The 17870-nt window shown below is 40.6% G+C and overlaps 1 protein-coding gene across 2 annotated transcripts in view, besides 1 other annotated feature; it reads left to right on the forward strand.

Annotated features, from left to right (window-relative positions):
- The window catches only part of AKAP13 (A-kinase anchoring protein 13), a 368756-nt gene that overhangs the window by 139973 nt on the left and 210913 nt on the right, over nucleotides 1-17870 (forward strand). For both annotated transcript variants that reach the window (NM_007200.5, NM_006738.6), the window contains exons 3-4: nucleotides 853-1000; nucleotides 13009-13305. In NM_007200.5, coding sequence (NP_009131.2) covers nucleotides 853-1000; nucleotides 13009-13305 — 445 coding nt within the window. The remainder of the gene's footprint in view (nucleotides 1-852; nucleotides 1001-13008; nucleotides 13306-17870) is intronic.
- Nucleotides 13455-13534: an enhancer, noted in NCBI's record as "active region_10016". NCBI's record gives its function as "activates an Ori minimal core promoter by ATAC-STARR-seq in GM12878 lymphoblastoid cells {active_cell/tissue: GM12878}" and the evidence as "EXISTENCE:reporter gene assay evidence [ECO:0000049][PMID:35858748]".

Below are 17870 nucleotides of genomic sequence, written 5' to 3' on the forward strand. Positions count from 1 at the left end.
AAGTTATTGGCTCAAGATTTTTGTCTGATTTTATGGGATTAATGTAGGGGTGGATAAAGAAGAGTAGGAATGTCAGATGGTCAGGAAATACAAATTATTAGAAAAGCAGCCTCCTATTGAAATAGGTTAAAAATATTATAGACCGAGAGTTGAACATGTTCCAGGAGCTTTCCTATACAGTCATGTGTTGTTTAAACTATGGGGATACGTTCTGAGAAATGTGGTATTAGGTGATTTTGTTTGTTGTGCAAACATCATAGCATATACTTAACACAAACTTGGATGTTGTAGCCTGCTGTGCACTTAAGCTGGAGCCCAAGCTCGTCTTCTTTGCACTCTACCCTTTCCAGGCAAGCCTGTTGCTGGAGAATGTATGGACTTGGTAATGATTTATGGGATATAGAATTTAGAGAATTATTGTCAACTGGAACACAGGAGTTAAGGAGCATTCTGAGTATAAGGATGTGATCATTTATTATACCCCCTCCATCCTCTCTGCCTTATTTTTGGATTTTCTTCTATGTCTCCCCCTGCCCCTCCCCTTTTTAACCCATTCATCAAGTAAAGTTTTCCTTCATCTTGTTGATTAACTTACTTGTCTAATGACCTCCACTAAAATGTAAGTTTAAAGAAGAGAGAGCGATCTTATTTTCAGGTTCATTCTGTATTGTGAATGCCTAGATGATTGCCTGGTGTATAAGTGCTCAATCTTTATACTTGTTTCAGCTTACCAGAATGGGGGCATGGTTTAGATGATAAATTTGATTTTCCCTTAAATATGATGTTTGATAAAGATAGGCTGCGAAGAGGAACCTTACTAATGTAAACTTGCTATATTGTTTCCTTTCCTAGGGTGATTGTGTTGTTACAGTGCTGCTTGCTGAAGAGGACAAAGCTGAAGATGATGTAGTGTTTTACTTGGTATTTTTGGGTTCCACCCTCCGTCACTGTACAAGTACTCGGAAGGTCAGTTCTGATACATTGGAGACCATTGCTCCTGGTAAGTATTTGAATGGGATCCTTACTAGCTTTTCCTAGTTCTTAAACCCTTTTATTCGATGTTTATGAGTATAGAGTGACAGGAAGAGTGAAGTGTAGACAGTATAAAAAAATTTATTAGTTTATAAAGCAGTTTGAATATCTGGTCCTGCTGGTATTGGAACAGATTGCCAGTTTTTTATTGCTGTGCCATTTTATGTATATTACTGTTATGTCGGCCACCTACCAAATTCTGTAAATTATAACTTATTTAAGAACTGGGATTATGACAGTTGAAAGCTGTATTTATCCTCCTACTTGGCAAAAATGATGTTGAAAATTCAAGGATTTAAAGATTCTAGAGAGTCTCTAGGTATATTATTGCCAAATTTTTATGGACAGGGAATAAAAGAAGGTAGTCAGCATAGATACCGATTTCTTTTCTGAAGAGTATTAGATATCCTTCCTTGTAACCCACAGCTCCAGTCATCTTGTTTCCTGTGATGTATATCATATCAGAAAGGCTTTTCTGGAACTTGAGGTCTGCTCTCTAGCAGGTACCATCCAGTATCACCATTGCTGAACATTTATTATGTGTTGGTGATGGGGAGAAACAGCTTCTTAACCTAGGTATAATCGATCAGTCCGTGACTCAGTTCTCATTAGGAAAGGAATTGAGGTAATTTTTATAAACATAATACTTCCTATAATAGGAACACTTTAGGGTTAAAGTTCGAGGGCTGTGTGTTTATATACCTGTGTGTGCATATATATCTAGAAAGGGCATATAAGTAGATACAAGGAGACTGCAAGCAGATATAAGGGAAAAGGCAAATACAAAAAGCATGGCCTGTGTCCTAACTGTGATCCTCAGTCACAAATCCCAACAAAGTCTGTTCTATTGGTGGAGAGGGATGTACCTGGAAGCCCTTATGCCTTTACTGGTAAGGTCCTTAAATTAGGATGGGCAGCAGGCAATTACTTTCTCAGAGTCACTGAACTTGTATGACAGCCTGGAGCTCTAAGTTTGTACCAGATCCTTGTACATTGTCCTCAGCCTCCCTTTCTGAGCTCTAGTTCACATTTCTTCCCTTGACTTTGATTCTAGTACCACTTTATATATGTCTATGTAAGTACCCTTGCCCTGCCTACCCAAGCCAAGCAGAATGGGTATTAGACTCTGCTCCTTTCCTCTAATTTGGTCCGAATCCTCAGAAATCATTCCTGACCCCTTTGCTTTGGCCCTGTAGTCCTACCTAGTACCTGGCTTTTCTTCTGTTTTCTGCTAATCATCTCTCCTCTTAGCCACATTTCAGTATTTTTCCATCATGCTTATGAGGTCAGATACCAGCCACCCCCCCCACCCCCACCCACACCCCCTCCCCCCGTCGCCCCCATCCCATTGGCCTGAATGTTCTGCTTCCCACCTGAATTTAGTCAGGCAGCTGATATGAGGTGCCTCATCACAGCAGAGGTAACAGAAGGATTAGAGTCCTTGAAAGACCTTTTTTTACTTCTGGAAGGCCAAATGCAGAGTAAGGCAACACTTTAACGTGTGAGCCTTTGATATGTGTGCAAGGGTACCAGTGAGATCCTTAGTTGGTATAGTAGAAACTCTGTTAACTAAGCAAAGGAGATTCCTGACCGGACCCTATTGCTCTGCTTATCACATATGAGATTTTTCTGATTACTTGTCTTTTTCAGCTACTGTCATTTGGCTTAGTTTGGTAATTTATTGTGGAGGGGTAGAGATAGAGGCATTTTGGGGGTTAACTTGTTTTGCATTTCTTGTTTATAACATGGGGTAAATTCTTTAGCCTGGACCTAAACTTCTTTAAATCTGCCTTTGTGGACTTAGACTTGTGTGTTCCCTTCCTTCAGGCCCTTACTCAGTATCACCTCCTCAGTGAGGCCTTTCGGTCCAGCTCATAAAAATACACAGCTGCCTCCTCTCCACATTCCCTATCCCCCTTTCCTGCTTTATGTTTCTCCATTGCACTTTTCAACTTCTCACATATATTTTACTTATTTATCTTATTTATTTTCTATCTGCCCCAACTAAAGTGTCAGCTTTATGAGGACAAGGATCTTTGTTTGGTTTCTTCACTGGTATCTGCTAAGAAGGCTGTTCTAGGAAACTGTCACTTGATAGAACAACATTTCACACATCCAGCTTCCCAGAAGCTGCTCTTCTAGAAAGATGTGTATGTATGTGAATACACCCACACTCGCACTCACACGTAACCCCCCTCCCCGCCCCCCTTTTTTTGTTTTTTAATAAATTCAAAAGAGTCTCTGGCTTCTTGAGTTGCATTTTTAGCTTGGAGAAGGAATACGATGATTTTTGTGTACCAGTTAGCTGCATTGATAGCCTCAGATTTCCTGTTTGCTGAGGGCAGTGTTAGATTAGTCAAGAATCTGCATGGAAAGTCCAGTCTTCGTGGAAAGTCCATGCAGTGCACTGTGCATCCCAGTTCCTGGATAAATGTGCATGGTCTGTTTGTTGCAGCAGCTACTGCCTGCAGGGATGTCTCTGCACTCTTTGTGCTTACGTGTGGGACTAGCTCTGCAATTTCTAGTCATTTTGGCTAAGAGAAGAAAAAGAGCTTTGTGTCTTGTTCTTGTCCCCCACCCCCCACCCCAAGAAGGAGTCTTGCTCTGTTGCCCAGGCTGGAATGCAATGGCACGATCTTGGCTCACTGCAACCTCCATCTCCTGGGTTCAAGCAGTTCTCCTGCCTCAGCCTCCTGAGCAGCTGGGATTACAGGCGTACCACCACACTTGGCTAAATTTTGTATTTTTAGTAGAGATGGGGTTTCACCATGTTGGCCAGGCTGGTCTTGAACTCCTGACCTCGTGATCTGCCCACCTCGGCCTCCCAAAGTGCTGGGATTACAGACGTGAGCCACCGTGCCCAGCCTCTTCTTGCTTTTATTATTATTTTTTTATTTTTCATGTTTCATCCAGATTGCTGGCTCTGATTTTTCTTTGAGTTCTCTGTATGTTTCACTGTGTGTTTTGTAACATTTTAGTTTTTCCTAAAACCAAAGGATTGATTAACCTTCAAAAGGCAGCACTTTTTGATGTTAGTCTGTAACCTTTTATCAAATCAATATTTCCCTAAATAGAGTTGACACACAGACATTCTAAATTATCTCCTAATAAATTGTTTTGACTTCGGATATTGAAATTGCAGGCCCATCTCCCCACCCATCTCAGTTTTCTCTCTTTTTTTTGCGTGTTTTGTAATAAGTCCTACAATGAAGTGTGTGTGTGTCTGTCTGTCTGTCCCTCCCTCCTGCCCCCTCTTTCCCCATTCCCCTGTGTGTGTGTGTGTGTGTGTGTGTGTCTGTGTGTAATTACAAAGAAGTTGTAAAGGCCTTTTAAAGTAGTTATGATGTGATTTCCCCTCCTTTTTAAAAATAAAGTATTTTAAGCGTAAGTAGTAACATCTTAGAGGGCAGGTACGTGGAGACTTTGACTTTCTATTTTATCTATCTTTAAATTTTTTTTTTTTTTTTTTGAGATGGAGTCTCGCTCTGTGGTCCAGGCTGGAGTGCAGTGGCGCGATCTCGGCTCACTGCAAGCTCCGCCTCTTGGGTTCACGCCATCCTCCTGCCTCAGCCTCCGAGTAGCTGGGACTACAGGTGCCCACCACCACACCTGGCTAATTTTTTTGTATTTTTAGTAGAGACAGGGTTTCACCGTGTTAGCCAGGATGGTCTCGATCTCCTGACCTCGTGATCCACCTGCCTTGGCCTCCCAAAGTGCTGGGATTACAGTTGTGAGCCACCGTGCCCAGCCTGAATTGTTTAAATGTTTACAGTGAGCATGTTATTTTTATGATACATAGTAATTTTTGATGAAAACATTCTGAAGGCTGAAAAGAATGTCCTGTCTTTTGAAAATAAATCCATCTTTGTGCTGATTAACACTGGAGGCTAACCAAAGCGTTATAATAAAATATTACATTTAAAACACCTATGAAAGTGGCTAGTTCAAGAATATAATTTGCCTTGAAACATAGCTTGAGATGGAAGTATACTTCTAGTAATGAAAGATCTTGCCTTAGTAATAAATGAAAGTAAAATATTCCATTATTGTCCCTTCATAGAAAACAAATACAACCCTAAATGACATTTTAATTAACTAGTGATTTTCCTCTAAAGCTGAGATTTGTTTTTTTAAGACCTATGTAGGATTGGCAAATAGTGTACAAAATCTGGACATCCTTTGAAGATAATTGTTGGGGTGGGATGGGGGCATAGAGTACTGTTTTATTGTGTTCATTTTTATTAATGAAACTGTGAATTTAGACCAAGCAGTGATTTCATAGTGGAAGATGGAACAGGATGTTTAGTGGGTTTTGTATACTATTTTTGTAAAAGGCTTTGGTGCAGAATCTTTCATAAAATGAAATCTATTTTCAGCATGTCTGTTATTTATTTTTAGAATTCACAGCAAGAGTTCTTGTTTGAAGAACTACAAACCTTTATTGACTCCAAATTTGACTCAGCTCTGTTATATTTTCCTTTTCTTTTTCACTGATAAGGGAGGGTACTTTATAAAGTAGATTTGTCATTAAAAAAGAATAATACATTTACCTGATCAGAAGTTCTTTTGGGTTTAAAGAAAAAAATTGCAGCCCAGATTGCAACAAATGGTCTGAGTTATAATATGTTATGTCTTTCTTTTTCTTTCTCTCTTTTTTTTTGTTTTGTTTTGAGACAGAGTCTCACTCTTTTGTCCAGGCTGAAGTGCAGTGGCACAATCACAGATCATTGCAGGCTTGACTTCCCAGGCTGAAGTTATTCTTATACCTCAGCCTCCCAAGTAGCACTCACCATCGTAAGTGGCACGTGTGTGTGTCCATCATAAGTGGCTGGCACGTGTGTGTGTGTGTAGATGGTGTCTCCCTGTGTTGCCCAAGCTGGTCTCAAACTTCTGGTCTAAGTGATCCTTCTGCCTCCACCTAGCAAAGTGTTGGGATTACAGGCGTGACCCACCATACCTGGCCTCTTTCATTTCTCGTCAACCAAGAATTACTTTCTAGCAGCAGGTGTCCAGTATTACCAAATGGAATAGCATATTTGAAAAGAAGTTGTAGACTTTTAATTTAATGGGCTTCATTAGAGAATTCTGACACCCCCCATCCCCCAGCCTGGCCCTGCCCCTGGCAACGCCTGTCAAGGTAATCAGTTATTTTTATTGGACTTTTTCTAACAGTCTCCCTATTCTGAAATACTCTCAAGCTATCTCTAGACAGATGAGATTTTATATTCTAGAAAACTTAAATTACTGTCCTAATGCTAGTTAGTACATATAGTGGTTATACTGGAAAAACAGAGTGAGAACTAGTTGAAGAGGAAAAAAATCTGTTGTCTACTGTCCTTAGTTGTAATTTTTTTTTTTTTTTTTTGAGAGGGTGTCTCGCTCTGTCGCCCAGGCTGGAGTGCAGTGGCGCGATCTCTGCTCACTGCAAGCTCCGCCTCCTGGGTTCAGGCCATTCTCCTGCCTCAGCCTCCCGAGTTCCCGAGTAGCTGGGACTACAGGCGCCCGCCACCACGCCCGGCTAAGTTTTTGTGTTTTTTAGTAGAGACGGGGTTTCACCGTGTTAGCCAGGATGGTCTTGATCTCCTGACCTCGTGATCCGCCCGCCTTGGCCTCCCACAGTGCTGGGATTACAAGCGTGAGCCACCGCACCCGGCCCTGTTGTAATGTTAGGAGGAAATTATATATTTCATAACTTTGGAACCATGAACACAGCACTGGAATCCTAGGGCATACAATATTAAGGGAGTGATATCCTCCCAAGGGGGTGAAAATTGCCTTTTGGGACCAAAAAAAACTTACAGTGATATATAAAACACAGTTACACAAATTTGTGGTATATCTGTGGTATTAAAGTTTCATGAAGTGAGGAGTGAGTAGAGAATAATGTCTGAAAAGGCTCTTTGGGATATGATAATGGAAGAAAAGGCTGAGAAACACTGCCTTAGAGGTGTGGGCTGGAATATAGCGGAGCACATTTTTAGCATTAAATCTCTCCTTCCTCCTCTAAAATGCTCATGGTGAAATTCCTGTGCCTACTCTTTGTTCTCTTCTGATTAAATACTCCTGTACACATAGAGACATTTTACACATATACCAAATTTGCACACTACTATTAGGTCCCCAAAACCCAGCAGTGGGTGTATACTTCTGCACATAATCCTATTTCCTATTAGAGTCTGAATCTGAAGACTGAAAATTTGTTTCCTTTAACCCTATCATAGACACTTCATAAGGAAGAAAAAGACACCAGATTTTTAGAGACTTTGATGCGAAACTGAAGTAATAAAGATATTATTTTTATATTTTCCATCATTTTTTCTCTTAGAAGGTGACATCTGTGTGGGACTGGGCTTGGCTGGCCCAGCAAACACTTTTAGGGTTTCTTTTTGGATAGCTGATGAAACAAAGTTCCTATTGTTTCATCCTCAAAAGAGAGGGCCCAGATGGGATGCATTCCACTTTTAGCTTAATAGGAAATGAAGTAATTCTTGGGCTGTGCTTCAGCAGTTTTGTTTATCAGTAGCAATATTTCGTTTCCATGGGTGCGGTGCTCCATATAGTGAGAAGGAGCCTGCAGGAGAGCTCTCCCAACCTCGCACACACACACCTCCTGACCTGCCAGCATAAAAAAGGTGCAGATTAGGTGATTTTAAGAGGGTCATCAGTAGTTAAGTTTTTGTTTCTCACCTAGGTGCTCCTTGTGTTTTTGTTTATTCTTTCCCTCCTCACTTAATTTTTTTAGTTCTATAGTGCCAATGGCAAGCTTTGTTGGGCCATGCTGGAGAAGCTCTTTGTAGAGTATTAGGGATCTGTTTTCCTTGAGTTTCCTAAACAGAAGCATTTTAATAGCTAATAATAAAAACTACCAGTTTTAGTTGCCCATTTTATGCCAGATACTTTGTGCACAGCTCTAATGTTTTTAACAATCCGTAAGGTTGATGGTGTTCTCATTTTGTGTACAAGGAAAACAGGCTTCAAGGTTGAATGACTTTCTCAGGATAACCAAATCTGTTGCAGTGGAGCTGGAGTTCAAACCTAATATTTTCTACTTGACAGCTAATTGCCAGCATACTTGATGAGGATCCCTACAGTTTACTCAGCTGGGAGCAGACTTCTCCCACCCCATAATTTATATTTGTCTTGTAAGTGGACTTGATAGTGTGAGAAGTTCAGAAATTAATTCCTAATTTAAAATACGGAATTAAAGTTTGGGCTGTGTTTCTTCCAATAGTTTCTCTCTCTCCTTCCCCTCTCTAAATCCTCTAGAGTAGCTGCCTTCATAAGTTCAGTAAAATTTTCAGAACTTCCCTTTTTAAAAAAAGATTGGGATTTTTATTTTCCTTTCTTGTTACCAGGAAATTTAATCAAAGGAAAAACACCATGGAACTAACTGAAAATCCTGCTATTGTTCTTCCTACTGCAGCTTCTGTTTTTATGCAGAAAGTTAGATTGTGGTTATTATATCAAATTGGATACAGTTTCTCATCCCCATGTCTTTGCAGTGTAATTGTAGACATTGTTAATAACCCTGCAGTTGGCCAGGCACGGTGTAAGGTGTAATCCCAGCATTTTGGGAGGCCTAGGCGGGCGGATTACGAGGTCAGGAGGTCGAGACCATCCTGGCTAATGCAATGAAACCCCATCTCTACAAGAATACAAAAAAATTAGCGGGGCATGGTGGCGGGTGCCTGTAGTCCCAGCTACTCAGGAGGCTGAGGCAGAAGAATGGTGTGAACCCGGGACGCAGAGCTTGCAGTGAGCCGAGATCGTGCCACTGCACTCCAGCCTGGGAGACAGAGCGAGACTCCGTCTCAAAATAAATAAATAAATAAAATAACCCTGCAGTCTTTATGTACAAAGGTAGTCATATGACTAATGACCCTGTTGCAAATAGTCATGTCTCTAGCGCTAATTTATGATAGTAAGAGGTTTGGTGTAGGCATACGCGGTGTAAAATTATTGAGTCTGTATTATGTAACTTTTTAAAAAATGCTGATTTACCCCCCAGGTGCTTTATCAGAAAGGTTATAGGAATTAAAAAATAATCTTGAGAGCCACTTGAACCTAATGGAAAACATTAATGTGAGAGAGTAGGCCTGCCAAACTGGTGTGGTTGATTTCCGGACAGTAGGGTGAGGTACTTTATTCTTGATCAGTAGTAACGCTTCCAATGTACTCTTAAGTTTAATAAAGACTAATCCAGGAAACCCTGAGTTCCCCACTCATCTTTTAACCCTCAGGTTTTCTTTTGAAAAAGAAGCCTCTAATCGTACCAAACAAATTCCAGATTTATGGCATATTTTACTTATGATGATTCATAGTTTCTTCTTCAGATTTTGAATTCGTGTCTGAAGGGAAAATATTGGATTAACAATTGGACAGTTTCTCAGGTATCTCTTTCATGGCTATTTCTGACATTCTGCCTTCTCGGTTATACAGTTTGATTTTAGTTATACACAGAGCTGACAGTAGCTCACACATCCATCCATTCACCTGCTAACAAACTCTGCTAATGCAGCAGAAAGAGATAAGCATACTGTTGTTGCCAAGCACAACCCCCGCGCCCCAACACACACCCATCCCGCGTTGTTCTGTTTCTCTCCCTGTCGTTCGCCCTCATCCCATTCTGCCTGAGTAAACAGTCATTTTAGCAATTCGGGACAAATTTCTGTGCTGATACTTACTTTGGCACTTCACAGTTTTGGGTAAGGTAGCATTGCTTCACCATGGCTCTTTGCTGTGTGAATGGTGTTTACTTTTAGTGGTATTGTGACTCCCTTTCTGATTCAAGGGTTCAGGTTTCTCATCTTTGCATAGGCCTGAGGAAGGAGATCAATAAGAAAGGAAAAGGACTGGTTAAATGGATAGGGCTGTGGATATTCTGTTTTACATAGTGTAATCTCTCTTCTAAGGCACTGTAAATTTAAGGTTTGAAGGCATAATTCAATTTGGATCTCAGATTACTTGCATCATCATCATCATTGAATTGTGAAATTTTGACATTTATTGACATTTATTCATATCTACCTCAAAGGACTTTCAGAAGTTTACAGATTAGCTTAATTTTGGATAAATGGGACAATGCTATATATTGATTCTGTTGACGAACCACAGCATTTCTTCTTTAAAGCAGTTCTCCTGACTGACATACGTATCACTCCATCCATCCATCGTTCATCATCCATCCACCATCAGTTTATTTGGAAATTAAGTGAGGCTATATATGGTGTTTTGGGTGATAATAATAAAGAATTTAGGAGGCCCCTTCTAGATTTTATTTATTTATTTAGAGACAGGGTCTCTGTCTCCCAGGCTAGAGTCCAGTGGCATGATCTTGGCTCATGGCAACCTCTGCCTCCCAGGTTCAAGTGATTCTCCTGCCTCAGCCTCCCTAGTAGCTGGGACTACAGATGCCCGGCTAATTTTTATTTTTAGTACAGACAGAGTCTTGCCATGTTCGCCAGGCTGGTCTCGAACTCCTGGCCTCAAGTGATCTGCCTGCCTCGGCCTCCCAAAGTGCTGGGATTACAGCATGAGTCATCGCGCCTGGCCTAAGTCCTTCTTAATTGCCATCTCCTTTGTGAAATCTTCCTGCTTTTGCCCACATATGGAATGCACCACTCCTCTCCCCAGATTGCACTGTATTTAGATATTTAGGTATTTTAGATAGGAAAGTTCTTGTAGAACTCCTCTCATTTTGACTTCATTGCAGTTATCTGCAACTTGATTCTCTGTTATGAACCGTAAATCTCTGGGGAGTTGAGACTCCTTACTTTACTCATCTTCACCTTCTGATCATAGTGCCTGGACTTGATGGATGTCTAGCTTTTAGCTCTTGAACAAAACTGAGTCAGATGTTAGAGAATATTTTAAAAGAAACATTTTCTGCTAGAAAAATAGACAAATCTTACTAACTGAATCATTTGGCTTGTTTCTGCTAACATTGATGTCTGTGTAGTTAGGCTGGCTGCCCTTCAAAGAAATATTGCTTTTTTCCCCTAATTCTCTTTCATATATTAAATGCATAAATACCGCATATACATTATTATAAAGTGTGCATGCATGTGCACGTGCTCGCACTTGCACACACACACCAGGCAGCGGATGCTTCAGCTTGCTACAGCCTTCTTAGAAAGAATTCGACTTGGAAGGCAGTGGGAGTATCGTGTGGATTCAGTGTTCATGTGAAGACTTATCTTCATGGTTCATGAACCAATTATTCTTGCTTAAAAGTTAAACTAGCCCATCATTCCAAGTGTTAGGCTCCTCTTAGGCAGGGACTTAGCTCTTAGCCTTCTTCCTCTTCAAACACATTGCCCTGTTTATAGGCAATGTGATACAAAACCCTTGCATCCTGATATAATAGACCATGTCCTTTGGCATCAGCCTCGACTCTGAATAATGAATTCTGCACCTTAATATCTGTGTAACATGGGGCAAGTTACTTCTTTAAGTCTCAGTTTCTCATCTATAAATTGAGAACAATACATGCCTCATAAAATTGTTGTGGAGAGATGACTGTCAGATGCCTGGCGTGTGCTAGGTACTTGCTTGGTAAATGTTTCCTACCACCCTAAAATTACACAGCAGTGAGAGATTTCTCTTGCCACAGGATGAGGGCTTAAGGAGGCCCTTGGGAAAAAAGCATGTGGAAAATTAACTTACTTATTATTCTGATTACATGGAAGAAACATTGTCTCTTTCAAAGACAGCAGAAAGCTTAGTTCATTCCAAGTCTGAAACCTCTGTTGGCCTGTGCCCGTGGTATGGAAATTCAGTCGCAGGGACCATGTAGAGGGTTTCCCTCCATGCCCTTAGCTGTAGAAGAGCAGTCTGAATGTGTTAGAGATTCAGGGAAGTGGCACGTGCATGGGTGCCCATGATTAATCAGGCAGAGCACAAAGTGGCGTTACCCAAACAAAAACATTAACTCTACTTTCTTTTCTGTCATCAGAAAGATAATGGGAGAAGGATGGTGATAGGAGCATAGTTCTGGCTATTTGAGATCAGTGTGTGAAAACAGGGGAAATAGTGTTCATTGTGATGAGTATATTCTGAATATTGGAAATATTTAATTCTGTGAGGCTAAAATTTCAAAAGAAAGCCCAATTGTCCAAGAAGGTCTTACCCATAGACACGTGGTGTTAAATCTTGCTGACCTGTCTGCAGCCGAACTCTTTGGAGTGGCATGCAGTTTTCTGCCTCCAATCATCACTCCTGAGGTGCCTGCCAGTCTGTACACTGGGCACCATGGAGTCCTTGGCATGTTTGCGTTTCCTGAACTGGGCTCCCAGCCACAGCATTGCATTATCCTCATGCAAACCAGGTAATTTCATTGAAGTCCTCATTACATTAGTGGTTGAGATGGGAAATAATGTGTATCTGAGAACAAAAATCATTACTTATTTTTTAGGCCTTGGATTGCTCATAGTAGTAAAATAAAATCAAGTAATTATGTACTTTTCCAAGTGCTTCATCATGTGAGCCTTTGTATCGTGATAATAAAGCAAGTGCTAGTGAATCTGTAAAATTCTTGCTATATAACTTGTATGAGTGATATTTTTTCCTGTTATGTTTTCAGATCTAATTTAGTTCAGTAGCTATTGGACTTTCCATCATATGCTATGCCTTGAAGGTCCTTCAGCTTTCATTCTTAAATATGTTCAAATTGAATAGCCCTTGTTGACATTCAGAGCCTGTTCGGTTCCAGATACCATGTTATAGGCATGGTGAAAGCTGGGATACAAAGTTTTTTGTTTTTTGTTAAGGGAATTCATATTTGCAAATAATGTTAAAAGCTGAAAATGGAGTTTTAAGAAGTTTGGAAAAATGCTGTCAGAGCTCAAGAGGAAGGAGGGGGTGTTTTTTAGGAGGAGAAATTTGTATGTCGTGAAATAAGAGCTAAGAGGATCCACTAGCGTCCTTTCAGCAGTGAGGCTCTAATACTGTTTTATTTGCTGCCTGTGTTTCCTTTAGGTCATGATTGTTGTGAAACAGTGAAGGTGCAGCTCTGTGCTTCCAAAGAGGGCCTTCCCGTGTTTGTGGTGGCTGAAGAAGACTTTCATTTCGTCCAGGATGAAGCGTATGATGCAGCTCAATTCCTAGCAACCAGTGCTGGAAATCAGCAGGCTTTGAACTTTACCCGTTTTCTTGACCAGTCAGGACCCCCATCTGGGGATGTGAATTCCCTTGATAAGAAGTTGGTGCTGGCATTCAGGCACCTGAAGCTGCCCACGGAGTGGAATGTATTGGGGACAGATCAGAGTTTGCATGGTGAGAATTTATATGATCTACAAACACACTTTAAGTTTGTGATATTTCTACTTTTTTTTTAATGGGGCTACTTTTCTATGGTCATCATATTCAGGTCTTCCACAGAGGCTGCGTAAATCTTAGAATTACTGTAGGAAAGTGGCCTCAATGGCATCTCTTCTAGGTTCTTCAATTGAGCTGTTAAGCATGTTGTTGCAGCGAAATGACCCTAGGGATTACCCAAGGAGAGTGGCACGTCACCTTCCTGTGGGTCTGGATTTCAGATTTGATCTCTCAAGTGTAGAAAGTGACATGCTCTTCATGAGGAGAGTAGCAGAGTTACTTTTTGGTGTTTAATGATCAAAGACATGGTTTTCATTATTGTATTCTGAAGTTCTCTAAAGATAGCCTGGAAGTGAAGGAGAGGAAAGATTGGGCAGTGAGTGGGAGGAGCATGAGAACAGGGTGTGCTCTGAGAAACCACACACTTCCTTAACCAGGTTAGTGTCACTCTTACTGACTTTATCTGTTGGCCCTCCCTATGAGAGTTCACTGAAGAAAGGACTTTTTGTTTGTTTTTTGTTTTTTTTTGAGAACGGGCTTTCACTCTTGTAGTCCAGGCTGGAGTGCAGTGGCATGATCTCGGCTCACTGCAGCCTCCACCTCCTGGGTTCAGGTGATTCTGCTGCCTCAGCCTCCCAAATAGCTGGGATTACAGGCATGTACCACCATGCCTAGCAAATTTTTTTTTTTTTTTAATTAGAGACAGGGTTTCACCGTGTTAGTCAGGCTGGTCTCGAACTCCTGACCTCAGGTAATCTACCCACCTCGGCCTCCCAAAGTGCTGGGATTATAGGCATGAGCCACTGCGCCCGGCCAGAACTCCACTTTTTCAAAAATATTTACATAGTAAGTCCTCTTACTCAAACAAGGGTTTTCCCACATAATTCTAGTAGCCAATGACATCTACTTGATGTCATAATTGTATAGATATTTTTTAATGAAACATAATGTGTACCTGGAGTTCAATAAGTAACATCCAGTTTCCCTTCTGAGTTCAAGTCCAATTGAACGATTTGGGAGTCCTGAGATAGAAACCAAAATGTTTATTACTGATGAAATCTAGATTGGAAGCCTGATGTTAGAGCTCCTGCCAGAAGGGTCTGCTTGTACTTTCTATGTCTTCAATGAAAGAGCTGGTCAGTCACACCATTGCCCTGTAGAGTCCACCCAGCCTTGAGTATTGAATTATTTTGGGTAAGCAGACCACAAGTCACTCTCCCCACAGGTGAGCAGTTCCTGAGGAGAAATACCCAGAGGGGCCTGAGCCATAGCATAGTTAGTTTCTACACTCAGATGAATTTTGTCTTCTTCCATGGAAGAATGGTAAAGAGGTCTTTGCCAGCTTTGATTCTCTTAAATCTACACTAAATTTAACAGTTAAACCTGTGGTCAGCCGTCAGAACGGTGTCCCATACTGTCAGGTGCATACTGTCAGATTCTACCTGGATAGTCCTGCCCAGGTAAAACCTGAAAGGAAGTATCAAATCAAGGAAGAAAGGATTTATCCTTTTCTTCTTCTTTTTTTAAGTATAGTGTCCAAGAAACTTCTGTCTTGCTAATATTTAGAGATCAGAATATTTGACATTCTGAAAAGGCACTCATGCCTTATATAAACCTGGTGATGGGCCTTAATACCTCTAGCTCCTCCTATTTCTGTATTGATACAGGAATGTTTATTCTGGCTGCCTTTCACAAATCAGTGTCAAGATAGTACTGCATTAGTTATTTGTGGGGCTTATGGTGTTTTATGGTTTTGTTTTGTCTTGTTTAAAGAGGGGCCCAGGAGTTGGATAGTTTTATGTTGCCATGATTAAAAACAACTATTAGAAAAAGCAAACATCTGAAACTTTGGACATATCACTTCCTCTTTCTCTCTCTTTTTTTTTTTTTTTTTTGAGATAGAGTCTTGCTCTGTCGCCCAGGCTGGAGTGCAATGGTGCAATCTCGGCTCACTGCAACCTCCATCTCCTGGGTTGAAGCGATTCTCCTGCCTTAGCCTCCCAAGTAGCTGGGAATACAGGCACATGCCACCACACCCTGCTGCTTTTTTGTGTGTTTTAGTAGAGACGGGGTTTCACCATGTTGCCCAGGCTGGTCTTGAACTCCTGAGCTCAGGCAATCCACCCGCCTCAGCCTCCCAAAGTGCTAGGATTACAGGCGTGAGCCACTGTGCCCGGCCACTTCCTCTCTTTGGGCCTTAACTTCCTTGTCTTTAATAGGAGGGAATTGGCCAGCTTTAATTTTTTTTTGTACTGTCAGTGTACTGGTAAATTTTCTGTTGCACAAAATTGCTCAAGCAGTGCTAACAAAGGCCAAACCAAATTTGAACACTTGAGGAAGGAAATACATATTAAAACCACAATGAGATATCATTACACATTTATCATAATGGCTAAGATGAAGAATACCAAGTGCTGGCAAAGATGAAGAACATATCATATGTTGCTTGTAGGAATGCAAAATGTATAACCACTCTAGAAATATTTGGCAGTTTCTTGTAAAGTTAAACATACACTTAGCGTATGACCCAGTAATCCCACTTTTGGGTGTTTATCCTAGAGAAATGAAAATCTGTAGTCACCAAAAAGTCTGTGCACGGACGTGCTCATAGTAATGTTATTCATAATCTTCAAAAACTGGAAATAACCCAGATTTCCCTCACTGAGTGAATACAGAAGCAAACTATAATATATCCATACAGTGGAATACTACTCAGCAATAAAAAGAAGCAAACTGTTGACATGTGCAACAACTTGGATGTGTTTTAAATGCATTATGCGGGAAAATGAAGTCAGTTTCCAAAGGTTCCATACTATGTGATTCTATTTATATGATATTCTGGAAGATGCAAAATTATAGAAAAAGAGAACAGATGAGTAGTTGCTAGGGGCTGGGAGTGGGGGAAGTCTGACTGGAAAGAGGTATCATGAGGGAATTCTTTGGGTTGTTGGAGTTGTTTTGTCTTGTTCGTGGTGGTGGCTGTAAGAATCTATGCATGTGTTAAAACTCATAGGAGTGTACATCCCCTAAAGGTGAATTTTATTGTACATATATTTAAAATAATAAAATAACAAAAGAAATTGTGTAAGTTGTATACTTTGCAAGGTGAAATGCATGCAAGTGACTTGATAGAAGTGTCTTTAAGTCAACAACTGGGATGAGGAATCTGATTTTCTGTGCTCAGTTCACATTCTGCAGTTTAAATTGTTCTATTAATTGATGATTAGAATCTGGGAACACTGGGTACAGTAAGGGAGAGAAGCATCAGTTAAGAGTTCATCACGCCTGCTGTTGAGGGACAAATGTAATGGAATAGTCTGTTCACATCAATGAGTTGCACATAAATACTTTTAAATAGGTATTTAAAGGAGAAAGGTACAAAGTAACCATGATGCCTGAGGTAATACAGGTAAATAAGGCACCTTGTTACATAACAGGACTTCTTGCTGTTGAAAGCTAGGATGTTTAGAGATATTCTAGCCTAATACTTAGACAAAGTAGTTTATGTAAGATTTATGGCTAATCCTCCTACTGTTTTAATTGTTTAGTTGCAGTGCTTTTTAGCTTTCTTCAGGTCAGTGACTCCTTTGGAAATTGCTCAGATTTCTCCTCAGAAAAAAATGTTTATAGGTGCCTATGTGCACACATTTACATATGATAAATTTCTTAAGTCTCCCTGAACTTCAGGCATGAGCATAAAGTTAAGAATTCTGGGTTTAACTTTGCTCTTACAAAGTGGGAAAAGCAGGGGCATTGGAGTCAGTTTGTTTGCATCCTGGCTTCATTGCAAGAGTTTGTGCAAAATACTCAATCTCTCTGTTACTTAATTTCCTCATCTGTGAAATGGGGGAAAGTGTATTCTGATAATGTGTGCTAGTTTATAAGCTATTCATTTTGAATGTACCATTTGGAGACACAAAACATTGATGTTTTACTTGTTACAAAAATTAATCTTCACTTTAAATATGAACAGGAGGGAGTTTGTCCTTTTAAATCTTCCAAATGTTCTCTCATCCCTAATTATATAAACAAGCTTCTACACATTGTACTGTTTGCCACAGTTCTGCCTTAAATGCAGGTGATAAGGATTCATCTGGGTGTGGCGTGAATGGTGGGGTAAGGACATTTTTTTCTCTGAGTTTTCCAAGTCTCACTTAGTTTCTCAGCTCGGTGGTTAGTGAAAATGGTAAGCTAGGGGGGTGTTTTCCCTGAGAGACCCTTGTGCAGTAGCCGTCAGCATAACTCCCAGGTAATGTAGGGTGGGCCCACTGCAGACTTGCTCTAGAGGAAGCAGGGAGAAACATCCTGGGGGAATCTTCATTCTTATTTACTCATGATATTGTATAACCAAGTGAAAAAGAGATCTGATCATCTTTGGGGGCAAGAATTCTCCCCTCAAAGAGAAATTTGGGTGGAGAGGTGGAAGACAGGTTTAGGAAAAACTGCAGTAAGAACAGCCTGTGTATTCCCAATTCTATACATCTGATATTGGTTAATAGGTCGCCCACCATAATCATTTGATG

Source organism: Homo sapiens, chromosome 15 (genome assembly GCF_000001405.40).
Source record: "Homo sapiens chromosome 15, GRCh38.p14 Primary Assembly".
NCBI lineage: Eukaryota > Metazoa > Chordata > Mammalia > Primates > Hominidae > Homo > Homo sapiens.